Source organism: Homo sapiens, chromosome 17, assembly GCF_000001405.40.
Source record: "Homo sapiens chromosome 17, GRCh38.p14 Primary Assembly".
NCBI classification, from domain to species: domain Eukaryota; kingdom Metazoa; phylum Chordata; class Mammalia; order Primates; family Hominidae; genus Homo; species Homo sapiens.
The window spans coordinates 15,257,130-15,277,470 of record NC_000017.11 but is presented as its reverse complement, the minus strand read 5'-3'; the positions used below and the strand labels follow the sequence as shown (position 1 = coordinate 15,277,470).

Below are 20,341 nucleotides of genomic sequence, written 5' to 3'. Positions count from 1 at the left end.
CTCCTTCCAGCCTTCTCCCTCCACATCTCATCTTTATCCCAAAACTTTGGATAAACTGAATCATGCTCATTTTAGTATTCCTAACCTAAAAATGACTCTCCAGCAATGACATTGAGAAGTGTTAAAAATCTAGGTATGTCAGGGCTGGGCACGGTGGCTCAGGCTGGTAATTCCAGCACTTTGGGAGGAGCAGGCGGGTGGATCACCTGAGGTCAGGAGATCAAGACTAGCCTGACCAACATGGTGAAACCCCATCTCTACTGAAAATACAAAAATTAGCGGGGCGTGGTGGCACATGCCTGTAATCCCAGCTACTTGGGAGGCTGAGGCAGGAGAATTGCTTGAACCCGGAAGGCGGAGGTTGCAGTGAGCCGAGATCGCGCCACTGAACTCCAGCCTGGGCAACAGAGTGAGACTCGGTCTAAAACAACAACAACAACAACAAAAACAAACAAACAAAAAACCTTTGAACTTGAACTGGAATTATAAAATTGACCTAGTGACCTGAGGCTCTCTCCATCTCACTCACTTCCAGTCCTCTAGGTCCAGCTATGACTGAGGTCAGCAGTCAGCCTGGGGTCCCCCACCCCATCTCAGTTGAGGGCTCCCTCCGGGTGAAGAACAGCTTGGCACAGGCTCCCAGGCACACAATCTCTTTCATGTCATGTGACAGGATTGTGATATTTGCAGTTTTGTGGGACGAAAACACATGCAACAAAACTTTGGCCAAGGGTTTATTTCTGTGACATGCTGAGCCACTTACCTTCTGCCCAGAACTATAAGGTTAAAATTTACTTTTATGATTTTGCAGCCATCTATGGAGCATGTGGTATGAGTCAGAAATGGTGTTTTTGCCCAATTCAGAGACTAGTGCAGAAGACAGACAAAGAAAAAGACAACTCAGGTCTAATACATTGTGCTTTTTGTGGGGAAGCGTGGGGTGCTGTAAGAATACAAGAGACGGATTAGTAACCAGTCCTTTCAGGGAGTTTAAGAACTTTCCAAAAAATAACAACCTGAGACCTAGAGGACAAATGAGAGTCAGGGAGATAAAGAGCAGATGGAGGTCACAAGAGAATTTCCAGGGTTAGAATGCCAGTGCCAGGGTCTGAAGGTAGAGAAACCATGAGTAGTAACCCACCCATCACCTAGAAGGGAAAATGTACTGGGACATAGTTCAAAGCACCATCATGCTACCTTTTGGGTTACAGGAAAAAAGGATCTTAATTGGCTAAGAAACAGGCCATAAACAGGTTTTTATTTTGTTCTACTTTGTTGTTTTTATTGCACAACTTCTTAGACCCTTTAGAGTCCTTTTACATGTTTATCAACAAATCCTGCGATGGGCCTTTTTCCTCCCTGACAAGTACTTAGTGTGGCCCATAGAGCCCAGAGAGGGTAGAGCCATATTGGTGAAAGGGCTCAGCTGGAGTACAGAGAACAAAGTGGATGAGAACTCCAGCCAGCACTGGGGGGTCATTTCTGTGGCTCCTTGAGCAGCCCTCGCCAGCACTCCTTGTACCAGCTTTCAGGGACGAACTGGCACTTGATCAACCTTGTCATCAAGACTGTGGCTCCTATTCACAATAGCAAAGACTTGGAACCAACCCAAATGTCCATCAATGATAGACTGGATTAAGAAAATGTGGCACATATGCACCATGGAATACTATGCAGCCATAAAAAAGGATGAGTTCATGTCCTTTGTAGGGACATGGATGAAGCTGGAAACCATCATTCTGAGCAAACTATCGCAAAGACAGAAAACCAAACACCATATGTTCTCACTCATAGATGGGAATTGAACAATGAGAACACTTGGACACAGGGTGGGGAACATCACGCACCGGGGCCTGTCATGGGATAGGGGGAGGGGGGAAGGATAGCATTAGGAGCTATACCTAATGCAAATGATGAGTTAATGGGTGCAGCACACCAACATGGCACATGTATACATATGTAACAAACTGGCACGTTGTGCACATGTACCCTAGAACTTAAAGTATCATAGTAATAATAATAGAAAGAAACTTGAACTAGATGTACACATAGCAACATGGTTAGATTTCAGAAGCAGTGTTGAATAAAAATGAAAAACGATGAGGTCTTAGAGCACAATATCATTTGTATGGATTACAAATATGTCCACACTCAAAAGAATAGTATATATTAAAAATATTATTAAAAAAAAGACTGTGGCTCACGGATGGCTACGGAATAATGCTTCCTACCCCAACTACTTTTTCTAGCCAATGAGGTGCTAAATGATGAGAGTTATTATTATTACTCAGTGCCCTTCTGAAGTAAATGTTCTGTTCTTTATAAACGTTTTCCTGTTGATATGGTTTGGCTCTGTGTCCCCACCTAAATCTCATTTTGTAGCTCCCATAATTCCCACATGTTATGGAAGGGACCCAGTGGGAGATGACTGAATCATGGGGGTGGGTCTTTCCCATGCCGTTCTCATGATAGTGAATGGATCCTCACAAGATCTGATGGTTTTAAAGACGGGAGTTTCCCTGCAAAAGCTCTCTCTCTTTGCCTGCTGCCATCCATGAAAGATGTGACTTGCTCCTCCTTGCCTTCTGCCATGATTGTGAGGCCTCTCCAGACATGTGGAACTGTAAGTCCAATAAACTTCTCATTTTTGTAAATTTTCTAGTCTCAGTATGTCTTTAACAGCAGCATGAAAACAGACAAATACACCTGTTATCTGATTTTCCATAGGTCTTGCATTGGGCACTGAAGAAATGGCATATTGGTTCAGTGTTCAAAGAAAATGTTAATGGTCAAGCTCATTTCACTTTTGGGAGTTCATGGTTCTAGGCCTGGGGCTGTATACTTAGAGGCCCCTCCTCAGCTCTTTCTACAGCAAAGCTACTCAAAGTGTTGTTCCCACATGGGACCAGTGCCAATTCACAAACTTTTAAAGGGCTGTGGTGAAATGAGTACAGACAGTGAGAATAAAACTTTAGAACATTTGATAGAAATTTGATGTTGTCGTGGCATCCAAGTGCATGATAGTGGGCATGTTCCATCTCCCATGGCCCGCCTGTAGGTCATGTCACTGACTGTGATGAATTAGAAATAAAGAACAAACAAACACAGTGCTTCACCCCAGTTGGTTTGAGAAGTCCTCCTCGACACTATACCTCAGAGCACTCCACAAATCTATGGGACTCTCTACAGATCCATAGCGTTCTCCAGAGAACCACAAGACTCTCAGAAAATGCCTGAGAGTCTCTATAGAGTCAAGTGACTCCCAAAGAACTCCAGGAATCTTCTCAATCTCTCTGGCCTTAACCACTCTCCTCCTTTAGAGATGAAACTGAGCCAACTATTACAGTCCATTTTCAGGTCCCAGACAACCAGTGGAACAAGTGGAAGTCAATTTGCTACCGCCAGGGATAATCACCTCTGCCCCTGCTGGCATAGAGACCTATTTGCAAATCTAATGCATTTGGTGTCTAACCCAAAGTCCAGGATTGTTAATGTATCAGTTAGTGTTTGCTGGGTAACAAACCACCCCAAAACTTAGTGTGTCTTAACACAACAAATTACTCCTTTTCACAATATTGAGGGGTAGCTGGGCTTTATTTGGCATCCATTCTGGTCTAGATCAGGCACAGCTATTCTCTGCTGTGGTGGCTCATGTGTCTAGGACCTCAGCTGGGATGGCACAGGCAGTTCAGATCTCTCTCAGTGTTGCCTGTCAATATCCAGTGGCTTGTCCAGCCTTGCTCAGATGATGGTGGAAGGGTCCCCAGGAGCAACAGAGCAAATCCCAATGAGAATGTTCTTTTAAAGCCTCTGCTTGTGTCACACTGTTAATGTCCCATTCGCTAAAGGAGGTCACATGGCCAGGTCCAGACTCAAAGAGTGGAGGAATCAGACTTCACCTCTTGATGAAGGGAGCAGAAATGCCACATCACAAGGGGGCATCCTTACAGGGGTGGGGAGCATTTGGGGCTAGTTTTGCATGCTAATAAAGACTGAAGAGGCTGTGTGATGTTTGCTTTTAGCCTGTAGCTGTTGCTCAATAAATATCTATTGAATGAATATTATTTTAAAAGGACTTCAGTTTTCCTTTCCTTCACATAGTTGAGGTCACGATGTCCAAAATACACTTCTCCCAGACTCTGGTTCTGGCTGTGGGTGACTTTGGATGTCAAAAACACTTAGTCATCTTCTGTTTACTCTCTCATCGTGGAAGAAGCTGCAAAGGTCAGTGACCTTAGTAAAAGGAATTATATGACTTTTGTTTCCTTTATACAAGAAACCGCTGGCCTAGATGACGAACAGACATTTCAATGTGCAATTATTAAGAAGAGACCTGCCAGATTGGGTTCTATTGAGGTATTTGCACATAACATTGTGTGGAAAAGGTAAGGATTGATAATCAGACACTGAAATTGTTGGGTGAAAAGGGGTCTCTCAGTCCCCTGAGTGGGAGCATACCATGTGGACTGCCACTGGGCTTATGCACGGGCTGAGGCACCAGGTTATTTGATATAGCTCCAAGGCTGAGAAGTCCATGCATTCAGCCTCCTAACAAGTCTTCGCTCTCAGCTTGCGGGGTGAAGGTTTTTTCACAAGGCCTTCCAGTTGGGGGTGTATCCCTAGCAATCCACATGAACCACTTTCCCCTGGGTTCTTTGGAAGAAACTCTTCCCTGGGTGACGTGAGGAAGCTGGGAAGGCCTGTGTAATGAGGCCACCAGGATGCTTCCATTTCTCTGGAGGATTTCCTGCCCCTCCCTCATGTACAGATGGTGGCGGCCTTGCTGGGCTTCTGTGCCCATCTCCAGGTTCCTCTGCATCCCACCCCTCCCGGTCCATATGTGGGGATTTGTTCCAGGAAGGGATCTGATCAGAAAAGAAGACAATAAGAGGCAATAAATTACAACAAACTTTATTGGTGGGCCTTGGACAGGGTTTCAGGATGGGGAAAATCCTTCACAGCTGGGGATCTTTCAGGGGCCACTATGGAGAAAGCTAAAGAGAAAAGGGAACTCCTGGGGCAGGGAGACATGGAGACAGGGCTTATTAGTTTAGGTGATACCAACGTCACTCAGCAGTGTGGTGAGGAGTCTCCAGGTCAGAAAGCTCCGAAGGGCCATAGCAGCTTGGAGTCTTAGAGCCACAAGGCTCTATGGTATCCAGGGCAGCCGATGCGAGTAAGATTTCATGGGGCATGCAAAGCAGGCAGGTTCCAAGCGGCTAACAAGGCTGCTTGTTTGAGCTACTTTAAGAATAACTGGATGTGTAAAAATTTGAATTTGAGGCCAGTGGGCTTTTGAGCTGATGGTTCCCAGCCTGCTGTGAAGAAATAAACTACCAAGTGGTCAATACCCAGAGGCCATCGTGGGCTCATTTATAGAATGCCTTACCTGGGTTCTGGGCAGTTCTTCCAAAGACTGTGACAAGGTCACTCCCTGAATTGAATCACTGTGTTCTTCCCCAAATGGGAAATAAACATATGACGAGGGAGAGCCTGAGCCCCACTGGGAACGATGTCTCTCCTGTGGAGAACCACATGACCTCAGACCACATCCACCCAGCTCCTTACTCAGAATCACAGCAACACACTTCTTTGGCATTTCTCTTCAATGTTGGCTTCTATGGATGTTTTCTGTTCCCTCTTCGCTGGCCTGGAGTCCTTAAGCCTCTACCTCCTGCCTTCAAATCTGCCTTTTCATTTCCTGAAGTGACTGTCGTCAGCTCGCCTCCATGGTTAGAGACTAGAATCGTGGAGCCCAATGTTTCCAACAGTGAGGTCCGTGGAACCTAAGTCTTGGAGGTAACCTGGGAATAAAAATTCCATGGTCCCATACATTTAGAAAATGCTTTGTAATCGTGTTTCCTCCTAGCGATTCCCAAGACACAGTTGCAGGTTAAATGATCCAAGATTAGACAGGAGTAAAGCAGGAGAGCATGGGGACTGTCCCCTGGGGAGGATGGGCAGAAACATTTTGCTGGGATGAGGAATTCGAAAATGACCTGGGGTCTCCCAATAATCAAGGAGCTCACAAAATCATAGAATTCAGATAGTCAAGTGATTGCGGTTTCATTATGGTTTCACATTGTGAGGCTGGAACGTGAGAGAGAGAGAGGGAAAAAAAATGGAAGGGGATAGAGAGAGGTAAAGGGAGGGAGGGTAGGGAAAGCAAGAGGGAGAGGGATTCTGAGAAAGAAGGCAATGCAGTAGGTGATAGACCATTGGAAACCATGAGAGTTTTCTCCCTCGGTCAAATTGACCATAAATGTCAGTGCAGTTTTACTCATCTGAACCACATGTCTGACCATGCTCTTGCTGTGGGTTGGAGGGATTCTCATATTTAAAGTCACATAACTAAACCAATGAACTGTTGGCTCATTCAGGCTCCCTCAAGACCAAGAAACTTCAAAACCACTTCTCTTTTTTCCTTTTATTTTTCTTAATCTCCCAATGTATTTAAATAAGTATAAGGTACAGTTATTAAACTCATGGTCTATATAAATGCCTGCATTTTACCATCAACATTGTAAGATGCACAGCTTATTCCAATACTGCCATACCACCTCTGTGCCTGGAGTGACTCCACTTGGGGTCAGTGCAAAAGATGAAGCAAGACCTGGCTCGTGGCCCTCCCAGTGCCTCCCTGGGGTTGACGCAGTGTGCGTTTCCTACACCGAAGTTACAGAGTCACAGACTCCTTATGATGGAGGCACAAGGCTGAGATGTGCGATCGCTCGTCACAATGAATCCTGTTATGTGTTCAGCTCCATGCAGTTATTTCTCCCATTTAATGTTAGAACTTGGAGACACAGTGTTGAACAAATTCTGTCATATTGCATTCTTCAGTCTTCGCATTCTTTCAGTTTTACTTTCATTTTTGTCACAGTGGTACTCAAAGACTGTACATTTGGTGGCATTTAGTGGTCAAGAACCTGGGGTCTTGGCTTCAAGTGGTCAAAGTTTATATATTGGCTCCACCATTTTCTCACTGTGTGGGTGTCTTGGGGGTCACGGCAGTTCTCCCCTCGTGGGATTGTTGGAGGTATTTAATGAGAGGGTTAGCACAGTGCCTGGCACATAGCCAGTGCTCAACAAATTATAGGTGTGCTATTTTGTATCCATCACGAATGGCTCTTCATTTCATTAAACATTCTTCTTGGACATTATTTTTTAATACTTACATAATATTTCATCTTATGACTGTACCAAAAGTTACTCAATCATTCCTCTAGTCTTTGAGATTTAGGATGTTCACACTTTTCTTTGTTATAAAACATATCACCTTTATTTGGCTATGAATACCATTATAGCCAAATTTTTGCATATCCATGACTTTCTAAAGATACATTTCTAGAATTTTAATTTCTGAGCCCAAAATTTAAAGTAAAACAATTATATGAGGCCCAGGCTTACCACTGAAACCCTCTAGATTAGATATTTCCTAGTCTAACAATGAAGAGTAAACATTCTTGAAGTTTTGCCCGGCTTTCCCTTGAACGTCTCGAAAGGATTTGACCTTTGTCTGTGAACTTCCCTGGATTAGCTGAGGTTTCACACTTGATAAGTGGTGCAGGAACTCAGAGATGAAGAAAACATCTGGTCTCCAGTTCATTTTAAGTACAACTGGTGCTCCCTAGGCTCAGAAGTGCACACAGAATGATGCATTGTGGGGACTATGATGCGTCGTGGGGCTTGTCCTCCCAGGGTCCCATCCAGGACCGTTTGCGTTCACCTCGTCCTTGCTGGAGATTAATGCTCCATTTCTTGGTGTGGCTTCGACTGCCTGAAGCAGGCATTTCCTTGGGTTACATGGGCCTTCCTGTGCACCTCTCTCAATAAGGACAATCTCTCACATCAAGCCAAGGCTGCTTTTCTCGACATTTCTATGCCTGGTCTGCAGTGGCCTAGAAAATCCCTGCATTCCTCCCCATTCCGTCCATTCCCGTGTGGCAAGATTGCTCTGCTTCCCCATTTTATTTGAACCTATGCCCTACTGGAGCAGAAGCATTTTCACTTAGGAGTAAACAGTCTTAGAAAAGTTTTAGAGTTTGCAATCCCAAGTACACATCCATTTCTGACTCTTGCTTAAATTGCTCCCCAATCCTCTAGCTGCTAACTCATGAGATGTCAGAGAAAAGACTGCTTTCCCCCCTCCACTTGCATCTGTGGAATCTGGCTTTCCTAAGCAACAATGCATTTGTGAACAGAGAATCCTTTGTACTTGGTCTGGTCCCACTGCCACAACATAATAATTCTGTGACTTCTCTCTCCCACAGGTGAAGGAGTTAATATACAATTTACTCCAAGATACCTTTCTATATTTTAAAGATGTCATTTAGGGAACAGTCCTGTGCCAATGTGAGTTTTTTTTTGTGTGTGTCTTTATGTTGCTTTCTGACTGCGTCTGTGTTGTTCATAAAGAATATCTTCTAGGGATTGGGACCTGTCATAATTTCAAACTTGCTTATTTGTAGAAGATTCTGTCACAGAAGTCAAACTGGCTCCTTCTGTTCCTTTTCTTCTCCCTTCTCCTTCTCTTCCCTCCCCTCTTCCTATCTATATCTCCCTCCCTCCCTCTCTCCTTCCATCTTTCCTTCCTTCCTTCCTTCCTCCCTCCCTCCCTCTTTCCTTCCTTCCTTCCTTCCTTCCCCTCTGCCTTCTTTCCCTGCCTTGCTTGTTCTTTCAACAAGCTGCTCTCACTCGACATCAAAACAGTCTAGCTGAGTCTAGATGAGGCAGGACTGACTTTTGAGGACCCTTCCAGGCCAGCTGTGTCCAGGGCTGGCCAAGAACTCCCACACAGGCTGCTGGCTATGAGGACACAGGAAAGACTTCATTCTTAGTGTAAACACTTTTCAGATATTGACTGAGCACCTGGTGGGATAGATGCTGCAACAACAACTTCATCACCTGGACAAACACCAAATTCAGACTTGCCTCTGGTTTTCTCTCTGGGGAGCCTGCACAGTGAAAAAATTACAGGTTTGGGAGTCAGAGGAATGGACTTTTTTAAGCCCCAGCCCTGGCATTCACTAGCTAGTCCCTGGAGGAAACACTGTAAATTTTCCAAGCCTCAGTTTCTTCACATAGAAAATGATTATAATGATTCCTCTTAAATAAGATACTGCCATATGTTAACAGCATTTTATTAGCTATAAAGTGCGGAAGGGTTTCCTCCCTCTTCAAGAGTCTGCTGGGATTCCACTGTCATGGACAACATTTCATTCTTATGAAATTAAAATCTCACCTACAGGCAGGATTCTGCCAGTGCTTATGCTATACAGACATATGGAATGCAAATGTCCTCGGAGGAGCACACAGCCTTGTTGGCAGGATGAGACAGGATTCTTGAAAGCTGTACTAAATGTGACTGGTGCTGAAAAAAAAATGGATGTCTTAGGATATGTTCTTGCTTTTTAATGGAAAAAGAAACGTGAATGCATAAATATGTATAATGTGAGAATATCTTTCATACAAATAGGACATTAAATGATAGTGTCTATGGAAGCATGATGAGAAGATATGCTAGGAACGTGCTGGGCACAATTAGGGGCACGGTAGAATGTGAGATAGTCCAGGCTGTGAGTACGGGATCTGTAGCCAGAATGCCTGGTTGGAATCCAGCCTCTGTCATTTCTTTGCAGTGTGTCTTGAGAAAGTGACTGAACATCTCGCTGTGCCTCAGTTTCTCCCTCTTCTAAAAGAGGATGATGGGGTGCCTATTTCATACGGTTGTGAGGATTAAGTGATTTGATGCATATAAAATATTCAAGATGGTGCCTGGCATATGCTAAACACGAAGTAAATATAACCTATTATCATCATTATCAAGGACTTGCGGATAACTGATGCTACTGAGCCGATGGAGCGTGGTGTAGCAGAACAGCTCAGGTGCTAGAAATAGCCAGTCTCATTGACTCAACTGTGTTTCCTCAGAGAATCCCGATTCTCATTTTTCCTATCTGTAAATGGAAGGGAGGATAGCAAATAATAATAAATGTTATTTGGTGACTATTCTATGTGTTTATTTTGCAAGAGGCTCAGTGGGATATAGCCTACAGCTTTGCAGAGACATTGCTCAACACAGATGCATGGGATAGGGGTCCCATTTGGCTGAGAAAAGGTTATTGGAAATGGGAGACGAGGAAGGAGTTTTCCTCACCTGACTCTGGGAAGGGAAGAGAGTCTGGCCCAGATGGGTAAAGACAAGTGTGTTGGCATCTGGTAGACAGGGCCAGTGGCACACAACAGTGAACAGCTCTACTGCTGACAGCCAACAGGGACTTCGGGGTTTGGCTGCTGGAGATGGAGGACCTGGGCAAAAGAGACGTGAGGCCAAGAGAGCAGGTCTCAGAATGTGGAGCTCATGGAAGGAGAGAGGGAGGGCTAATCAGACTGCTCCTATCTGGCCAGAAGCCATGCCCCACACTCACCAGGCCCTACCCCTTTTCCTCTGAATCTTTAGCTCTTAGATCAGAAATAATCTTACGTGTCTTCAGGCTTGATCCTGGCCTGACGGACAGCAGCCTCTGTCGTGTAGCCTTTGGAGCTGATCATGGCAGTACCCAGGAAAAGACTGTCTGGAGAGGCTGCAAAAACCATGCTCACTGTTCCCAGTCCCCGTACAGACCATGTCAGAGGAGGACTGAGGGAGGCTCCTCTCTCTCTCTCTCTGTCACACACACGCACACGCGCACACACACACACACAGATACACGCGCACACACACACACCGTTTTGCCTGGCAGAACAGACTTATAACTTGCATAATACTGCAGCAGCCCACACTGTACCTCATCTCCATTTGGGTTCCACAACAGAAGGGAGCTGGAAGGAAATCAGCGACAATCTAACTCCACATGACAACCTGGCTGGACAACGAAACATCCAGCGGGGAGAAAGACACTGGAAATTACCCATACCTGAGCCCCATCCCAAAACACCTGAGTCAGCTTCTCTGACCATGGCCCAGGCTAGGTCATTTGCAAAGCTCTTGAGTGATTCTAAAGAACCACTGCTGTGAAAAATAAAAATGATTTCAGCAAAGAGAGAAAGGTGAAACTATTTTATTGGCACTGGCTGTGATGCTGGCTGTGAGCAGATGCTGGCTGTGGGCAGAACAGGGGAGAGGGCCATTGAGAGGCCCTTGTGACTGGAGAGTCCAATCAAACGTAAAGTGTGTGACAGGGAGGGACTCCTCCAAATTCTGCAGGTCTCTCCAGACTGGGGATCCCTAACACAAGAGGAAGTCTTATGCCCCAAGTGCCAGAATTCCAGGAAACTCATGCAATGAAACCAGTCCTCTTGTGTCAGAGTTTGCAGCTAGAAGCGGTTCAAGGGATGGAGGACTCTCTGGGAGCTGGAGTGGTACGCTGCAAAGAACCTAAATATGCCATAACTTCCTTTACTTCCCTCTCCAAGAATTTCCAATTGCTCTTCCAGCCTATTCTGCCTGACAGGTTAGAAAGTTTTCAATAGTTTTCAATAGAGGTTCGTTTACTTGCATTGAATTATCTCATGAAGGTCAGCTTGATTCGGGCACATTAAAGACAGAGTCGGAAGAACACATTTCCCTAAGTTTTATTCTAATGTACAACACATGTGATCATTTGCGATGGGGTCTAGGCAGACAAGGCAGGTAACAGGGAGTCCTTCCAACCAGGGGTTGGAACAAAGGAGGCTTGATTTGGTGACTCTTGAGACATTTGGCTCACTGCTGTGATGCTGTGAGAGATTAGCTGTGCAATGTTTGGGCTCCTTAAAAGGAAGTTTATTTAAAATAAAACTTACCTGCACGTATGTAACACTGTAGACACAGATCCTTCCCACAGTATATTTAATCTCTGCAGAATTCACTGGGAGGGGAGGGGAGCCAGTGGGACCTCTTGGCTATTACACAGGTTGGCACTTCCAGAGAGAACAGTCTTGGCATCACAGGCTTCAGGCATACTCAAAGCTCTTCTCCCTTCTGATTCCAGTTTCTCCATGCCCTGCAGGGCCTCTTGGGATTATTGTATTCTGGAAAGCAAACAAAGTTGGACACTGTCTCTTTAAATAATAGAGGCTGAGAACCTCTCAGGCCACCATGACATATCCCAGCATTGGACCAGCCCCTGAATAAACTGGAAAGACGCCTGGTCTGGCTTCAGTTACAGGGAGCACCACCAGGGAACATCTCGGGGAGCCTGGTTGGAAGCTGCAGGCTTAGTCTGTCGGCTGCGGGTCTCTGACTGCCCTGTGGGGAGGGTCTTGCCTTAACATCCCTTGCATTTGGCTGCAAAGAAATCTGCTTGGAAGAAGGGGTTACGCTGTTTGGCCGGGTGAGTTTTATTGGCAAACTGTGCCTCTGGGTGATGTGTGCCTATGCTTTACAAGAATTGCCTAATTTCCCACCCCCTGCAAGCCGCAAATGAAAAGGATTGCAGGAGAGATGGTGCATTTGTGTTGGAATTGACTGGAGATTCAGAGGGCTTTTTATATCCTTGGTTAAAAGGTGGATATATACTCTGGCTGGGGAGGTGGGGGGCCATCTGAGAGCATCTAGAAACCCTAATGCATCCAGATTGAAAGGAAGAAAGGAATCTAGATGCTTTTTCCCCCATGGAAAATAGCTGTGCACACACAGCTGGCAGGTGGCCTTGGTAAGCAGGTTAGGGAGAAGCTGCCACCTGTGGCAGAGCCTTGGCCAGCCGGGCTCTGGGTGTGGCAAGCCTGGTCAGCAGGCACTGAGTAGCACTTCCTCTGCCACCATTGAGAACCAGGCAGGAGGCCAGAGGCAGTGAGGGACAGATGGGTTGGGTTTACCTGTCTGGCAGTATATGGTGTGGCTGTGACCTGGGTGGTTATTGATTAAACTATTGGGTTCAAAAGAAAGGAAGAAGCGAGCTGTAGCACCCAATATATGCACTTTTCTGTATGTGTATTAGACTTTATTAAAAAGTTTATTTGAAAATCACAAAGGAAGGGAAAGAAAACCCTGAGTTAGATATGCTCATATTTCTAAAGTGCTTACTTAGAACAGTCCTGAGTATGTTGTGATCACATAAGTGTTGGTTAAATAAATAAATGTCCAAATGGCATAAAACAAAGTAATAATTTCTAGAGCAAATCTAACTTATAAAATGACCTGTGGAGGAAAGAAAACACTGCCATGTCTTTAGACTTTTTTTTCTACTTGCATATGCACTTTCATTTATAAATCTTTATCTATCTATCTATATCTATCTATCTATCTATCTATCTACCTACCTACCTACCTACCTATCAGAGTTACAAGCTACTTTAGTGCAGAGGTGGTCAGGTCTTCCCTGAAAGGTTGATGTGAGAGTTAAATGTGATATAATAATAGTGGTGGCAATTTGGGCACTGGGCCCTTATTATGTTGCAGACACGATGTTAACTGCTTTGTACATATTGTCTCCTTCAATCACCACCATAAACCTTTAAAGCAGGCATTACTATTTCCTTTTGCACCTGAGAAAACTGAAGCTCAGTGAACTTGAGAAATTGCCCAAATTCACAACAAAAGTAAGCAGGGTGATTAGGTTTGTTGGAGCCCAGAGCCAGAGTGCCTAACCACTGCACCATACTGCCTCTCACAGACCATGCATATAAAGTCCAGGCAAAGTGCTTGGCATATAACGGGCACTGTAAATGCAGTGTTTACAAGTACACTTCATTTTAATCTGATAACACGATAGTTTTAAAAAGATCATTGTTTGAAGATCTTTTTCAAATTTATTTTTACTTACCGTAAGAATATACAATTAGCTAAAATAGCAGCTCCTTTCAAATCGTAAAATAATATAGAATTATTTGAATCATTGAGAGTGATGAGCTTCTATGACACAGTACACTAGAGGTAGGGAAGTGTGTGTGTGTGTGTGTGTGCGCGCGCGTGCGTGAACTGCTGCATTTTCAGGCAGAAACCTTTAACATCCACATTCCTGCTCCCTGTCCCGTGCCTCAAGGCTGGCCTGCGCACGGGAGTCTCAGTTGGGCGCGCCTCTGCCAAGCCGAGACTGAAGGGGGCTAGCCTCTCTCCCTGTAACGCTGGGCGGGCCACGTTAGGAGGCTATGAATCAGCTGATTTCCTTGGCTGCTCCAACCCCACCTCAAATGGCCACCTCGCACCCGCCCGCCAAACCCCATGGCCAGGACTCCAGCCAAGGCTGACAGCCAAGCCCGACTGCTGCAGGAACACTTTGCCTAGAGCTTATTCGGTGGTAGTCTGGTTTTGCCTAGGCTAGGAGGAGCCCAATCCCAGACCATGCTATCCAGTAGTCGGCCGGACTTTTCTTCCCCTAATTCGCACCCAAGAGGAGCCCGCTAGATCAATCCCCGCCAATCCTAGGAAGCTGGCATGCTTCGTAGGTGCAGACAGTAATAGCGGGGACCGGCGCGGGGCAGGTGTGTCCGGCTAAGACGCCAGGACAGGGCAGGGGCTCCAGGACCCGAGAGGAGAGGGACTTCTTCCAGCGCTCAAGCGCCCGCTGCCCTCTATTAGTGGGAAAGGAATCCAGCCTCAGCCCCGCGCGGGCGCGGTCGGCGTCGGCGGGCCCAGAAGCCCAGCCCTGGGCATCCGCTGAGCTACATTTGGCTGGGTCTTCCCAGAGTGGGCTGAGGAGCCAGTTTCTCGGTCAACACTAGGTCTCCACGGGGCCAGGGGAGAAGGGAGGTGGGAGGTGAGAAAGCTCAGCCGCCTCTGGTTTCGAGTAAAAGTCGCCGCGGTTTTGCAGGGACCGACTTTTTCTTGAGGCGCATTTAAGGCCAAGTGACTGTCTCCTGCCCTCCCTCTCTCCTGCCCCCTCTCCTCCCTGAGTCCCGCCCTCCCGCACACGCTGACCCAGGGACACACCCTACTGCAGCGACGCAAACAGGGCGTTGTTCCCGTTAAAGGGGAACGCCAGGAGCCTCCCACTGCCCCCTTGCTTCGCGCGCGCGCAGCCCCGCAGCGCAGCTTTGGCGGCGCCAGCAGCGGAGCCAACGCACCCGAGTTTGTGTTTGAGGCCACCCTGAGGATCGGGACAGCTGTTCCTTTGGGCTGTAAGTGATTTGGTGGGGAGAGTGAAGGAGATGGAGGAGAAATGTGGGCATCTTCCAGTGAGGGTGCCAGAAAGCGCAGCGCAGGCGCGGGGCTTTGGCCAGCTCCCTGGGGCTTCTGTTTAGGGGCACAGGGTCCCCTGTGTGTCCTGTTTCCCTCCAATGGGTCTTGGAGTAATACAACGAGGAGAGCCTTTATGGTCTATAAGACCTTACAGGGCAAGGGTGATGGTGCTGGTGTCTGGATAGCGGATAAGGGCGGCCCAGTTCTCGCCTTGCTGAAGAGGCGTTGACTCTGGGACACACTGGCAAAACAGTCCCTGTGGCGGACATCCCGAGAGTGTTGGACTCCTGTGGTTCCCCAGTTCCCAGCCTCCTGCCATCGGCTTAATTCAAACCCTCTGGGAGTCATCAGAAATCCTTGTTTATTTCTTCCAGTGCATTCCAGAGTTTCTTTGAATGTGATGCTTGTGGAGAGGAACAGAGGGGCCTGGGATTGGGTACTTTCCAAACTGGGTTATTGAAACGTTGTCTCCCTGGCCCAAGACTCTGCCTAAAATGGTCCCCAGAGTCTCAGCCAGATCTTTCACAGCCATGCATGTCCTCTAACAGGTCATCCCAGCCTTCAGTTCCCCCAAAGTTTAAAATGAGGGGCGAGGACCGCATTACTTGGGATAAATGTCCTGCCGGCTCTGACCGGCTGAAATTCTCGGACTCAGCCTTTTACCCTCTGTCTCTCTCTCCCGTCCGCTGGACATCTACTCCCTTCGGTCCAGGCTCCTGGGCTCCTGTCCCACCGCACCCAGACCGGAGCTCAGGCTTGTTGGGGTTCGTGTCCTGGCTTTGAGTGCCTGGGGTGCAGACTGGACCCCTAGGCGAGCACGTGGGTCTAGCGCAAGAGCAGAATGCCCCCTGACCCCAGGGGCTGCCTGGGGAAGCGCGCGGTGGACGGGAAGCGCAGGGTCCGGGCAACCCTCTCGAGCCATTCTTTTCTTTCCACACTACTCTGGCTCTGCACCACCTCTCCGGAGCCGCCAGAGTCTGCGCGAGGCTGAGCTGGGGCCAGGACCGTTCCTCTACGCTGGCAGAGTTGGGTGGAAACTTGGAGACAAACGGAATGCGGAGAGCACTGGGGTCTGGGAAACCAGCCTCCTCGCCGCTGTCTCCCCCACCGCATGCCACGGCTGTCTCCAGGTCTCAGACGGAAATCTGGGCACCTACTCCCCTCACCCCTACCTCCACCCCATAGGGGAATTCACCATCTGAACCGGGGTCTCGGAGAACGTGACCTCTCACCTTCCAGGGAGGTCGCCGGGAGGTGCTTGGGGTGGGTGGAAGCGTGCAGTGGCCTCTGCTCATATTTTCTGGAAACCCCTCCGTTCCCTGGGTGGTTTTAGACGTGCGAACCGCTTGTTTTGTTTCCAAAAGCAAAAGATGTTCCGTTGCAGGCGGGCCCGGCTGGGCGCTGGGCACTGGGCGCTGGTCCTGCAGGCGGCTGCTGCCCCCTCTCGGCGGCAGGCGGCGCGAAGGCTCCTGACCCGCGCGGGCGGTCGGGCTGCGGGCGCTGGGCCAGGCCGGGCCTTCCGCTAGTGCGCGGGACCCTCCCTCTGCGCGCGCCTCCGTCGCTCGGCCCAGTGCGTTCGGCCTCACGCCCAGCGCTCTCCTCGCAGGCAGAAACTCCGCTGAGCAGAACTTGCCGCCAGAATGCTCCTCCTGTTGCTGAGTATCATCGTCCTCCACGTCGCGGTGCTGGTGCTGCTGTTCGTCTCCACGATCGTCAGCGTGAGTGCCTGGCGGGGAGGCTCCCTGCGCGGCCCGCCCTTCCCCATCTGGGTTCCCAGCCCGTGCTCCTGCTGGTTCAGGACTGTGTTATTTGCAGACAGTTGGAAGTCTCAGACGTCCCAGGGAAGTTTCTGGCAATCTGCCCCCTTCCAGTTGCTTTGAGAAAACGAGAGCAGATTCAGTGATAGGAACCAAGCGAGCGCTGGGCTGGGTTAGCTGCGCAGGTCTCTATTTAAGCCAAGTAACTTCAGAGCCGATCTAGGGTCCCCGACCTTCATTTGACAAGATTGTTTAACTTTTTTTTTTCTTGATGCAGCCTCGTTGAAGAAGAGGAGTATTTATGATTTTTTTTTCTCCAAACCATAGTCAGATGGGTGAATTAATTTATAAAACACCCTTTTAGGACTTGAAATTGGAAAGTTAAAATGGGCTTTTCTGGAAAAGAGTTCACAGGTCCCATGTCGGCTTTATGGCATGAACACAACACATTGTTAGTAAAGCTTCCACTGGTAGGAACAGGCCATCAGAGTAACTTCTGTTACAAAACTGTCCAGCCCATTAGATCTTAAAGTTATTTTCTTGGCGATGAAGATGAGCAGACATTCAGGCAGTTTTCCAGTGGTGGCTTTCACTTCTTAATTTAAGGCACATTGTAAGCATGATTTTCTTTTTCGTTTTCTTTTCTTTTCTTTTCTTTTTTTTTTTTTTTTTGAGATGGAGTCTCCAGCCTGTCACCCGGGCTGGAGTGCAGTGCCATGATCTTGGCTTACTGCAACCTCTGCCTTCCGGGTTCAAGCCATTCTCCTGCCTCAGCCTGGGATTACAGGTGCCCGCCACCACGCCTGGCTAATTTTTTTTTTTTTTGTATTTTTAGTAGAGACGGGGTTTCACTATGTTGGCCAGGCTTGTCTCAAACTCCTGACCTCATGATCCGCCCACCTCTGCCTCCCAAAGTGCTGGGATTACAGGTGTGAGCCACCGTGCCCGGCCTGTAAGCATGATTTTCTAGTCTCTGTGAGAAATAATTATGTTGGGGATTTGTGACTTAGTTTAACATTTACAAGCATCTTCACAGTATCTCCATTGTGCCTGGTGATGATGATATCAGACTGATAGGAGCTATAAACAAGGAAATAGACTGAGAGAGGCGGGCTTGGGGAATGATCCCGAGATGCTGGGAGGAGAGAAGGCTTGAATGCAGGTGTCTAAGGTTGAGTTCATGGCTCCTTCTACTATAGTAAACATCTCTGCACATAATCGTTTCTGTGTGCATGTGGAACTTCTCCATTTACAAGGTGCTTTTAAGTCATAAAACGTTGGCTCTTACCATGCAGGGGTGGGCGGTGTGGCTAGGTGGATGCGGGTGCTTTTCGCCATCCCTGGGCCTTTCTCCTTCCCCTTTTCCTTCACTCCTCCCTCCCTCCCTGACTCAGGATATCTATCTGATTCTCTCTAGCAATGGATCGTGGGCAATGGACACGCAACTGATCTCTGGCAGAACTGTAGCACCTCTTCCTCAGGAAATGTCCACCACTGTTTCTCATCATCACCAAACGGTGAGGCTGGTTTTGTGCTCCATGAGCTTGTCCTCAGACGCCTGTAACACGTTTCTCAGCCCAGAGCTGGAAACGCTTATTGGAAGACACAAGCCAGAATGTCGTTGCTGGGGTGGGGTGGGATGTGACAGGGAGCCATGAGTCCAGGGAAAATGGGAGGGGTGGTGATCTCGCTGGGGAAGCTGAGATCCTGGGCATCATTGTGATTCACTCTACCTAGAGACATGCCCTTAGTGCCCTCCTGATCACTTAGGATAATGCTTTTTGTGATTGAAAAAAATATCGACCTGGGAGCTGTGAAGGTGGTATGATAGCTAAGCCTTTGGCAGACCCCCTTGGGACATTGGATCAAACGTGTATCTTTGGTTTGGTGGCTGTCTCTATTCAGAAATGTCCTGCCCCTTTCTGCTGCAGTGACAGTGGGGCTAGCTCACTGCACCGTCAGTTACATGGACACAAGACTGGCTGCCTTTCCAGGTCTTGGGCCTCAGTGATGCCACCTAGCATCAAAACCTTTGAATGTTTCCTTGTTGCAAGATGGGGACTTGAAGCTATTTGCAAAACCCTAAGCTAAGCCTTGGGGTCCTTAATCCAGAAGATCGTATTTCTCCTCTGTCCTCAGCATCTTTGCTTGTGAGATATGGAAGCCAGGCTTCATGAGGGTCAAATTAAGGGATAATTGGCAGCAGAAGCACCAACTAGGTACCCAAGGCACCCAGAGGGAAAGGAACACCCAGCCAGGAGCCCTGTGTGTTTGGATGCAGACAGGTGGAGGTAAACAGGATGAGCTGTTTTGGTGGCTGGGTAGGCCATAGCGATTGATGTTAAGAGCCCGTGGACCTGGATCCACATGATCTTTTGTTCCAGAAGATGTGTCCTCAGGCTGGAAGGACCTAGAGATACAGCAGAGCTTTCCTAACATCCTGGGTTTAAAAGGCCACGGAAATACAGCTTTAAATGTTGCTGGAGCTACTCATAGATCCAGTATATATGTTCAAGATGCTACACCAGACGAGAGAAACCAGTTTAGATCCAGTTCAGTAAAACAGGCAGTGAAGTGGCCTTTGGTCCTGGCTTTGCATAATCCAGTTGCTTTGCTGGACTTTCCCTCTTACAGCTCAGTACCCAGTAATACCCAAGCATGTCCCCAGCTGAAGCATTATAAACCAAATTCCTTGAACCACAGTACAAATAGAAACTGCTAAAATAATAATTTGGTAATTTACATGGAGAAGATACGCAAGGAGTAGAAAACCCTGCTTTATGTTTTTACCTTCTGGGTTGGGGAGGGAGCAGAGAAAAGGTCCCAGTCCTATTGGAGTGAGAACAGTGCTTAATCTTGTCTCTGAGTGTGTGAAAGGCATTGAATTAAAGCCATCCCAGAAATTACGTGGTGGGTTTGCATGGTGAGTTGGCAACTGAGTAAATGAAATACTCATGAGTGCCTGAGAATGTGACCGTAGCACTGCTTGTCCCCAAAGCCACAGCATCCGGTTTCTCCCCCTTTAGGGTCTGGCTGAAGTTCCCGGAGCACTCCGGATGGGAGTCTCCGTACTCGCTACTGACACCTGGTGGTTACAAGTAGTGACTCAGCCCGAAAAGGGCAGGCTTTGGTGCTCACAGGCGCCATCCCCAAGTGGCATCTGGCCACGCGGCTTGGCACAGAATCCTGGACTCTTGGGCCCGGAAGGGGGCAGTTTTGGCAGGCGTGTTAAAACCCGGCGAAGTTTCAGCAGAAACGAGGCGGCAGAGGAGTTGCTAAGTTGTGCTTAAACCATCTGCAGGAAAGAAAGCAATATTGACCTGTAGCATGTTACAGATTGACATTTGGTGTCTTCTGCCGTTGGAAATAGCTGTCAGTTGGTGCTAGAAGCAGATCTCAAAGAGGCACTAGGGTTATTTTAATCAGGAAACTTCTTATCTCTCAACTTGTTCCTTCTGTGCCAAGCTCATGTTCTTGAGTT

The 20,341-nt window shown here is 47.7% G+C and overlaps 1 protein-coding gene and 1 long non-coding RNA gene across 11 annotated transcripts in view, besides 1 other annotated feature; one reads left to right on the top strand and one right to left on the bottom strand.

Annotated features, from left to right (window-relative positions):
• Positions 11,562-16,512, bottom strand: LOC124903931 (uncharacterized). The gene is made up of 2 exons (XR_007065632.1): positions 16,336-16,512; positions 11,562-12,015 (listed from the first exon to the last, which is right to left on the bottom strand). It is a non-coding gene; the product is annotated as an uncharacterized LOC124903931 (long non-coding RNA).
• The window catches only part of PMP22 (peripheral myelin protein 22), a 35,548-nt gene continuing 27,351 nt past the window's right edge, over positions 12,145-20,341 (top strand). For 3 of the 10 annotated variants that reach the window (NM_153321.3, XM_047436306.1, XM_024450806.2), the window contains exons 1-3: positions 14,919-15,042; positions 16,710-16,821; positions 18,278-18,377. In NM_153321.3, coding sequence (NP_696996.1) covers positions 16,744-16,821; positions 18,278-18,377 — 178 coding nt within the window. In that variant the 5' untranslated portion in view covers positions 14,919-15,042; positions 16,710-16,743. Of the gene's footprint in view, positions 12,318-14,918; positions 15,047-16,650; positions 16,822-18,277; positions 18,378-20,341 lie in introns of those variants that run through there. The other 7 variants (NM_000304.4, NM_001330143.2, NM_001281456.2 and 4 more) reach the window with 6 other exon arrangements.
• Positions 16,460-16,579: a silencer, noted in NCBI's record as "silent region_8211". NCBI's record gives its function as "represses an Ori minimal core promoter by ATAC-STARR-seq in GM12878 lymphoblastoid cells {active_cell/tissue: GM12878}" and the evidence as "EXISTENCE:reporter gene assay evidence [ECO:0000049][PMID:35858748]".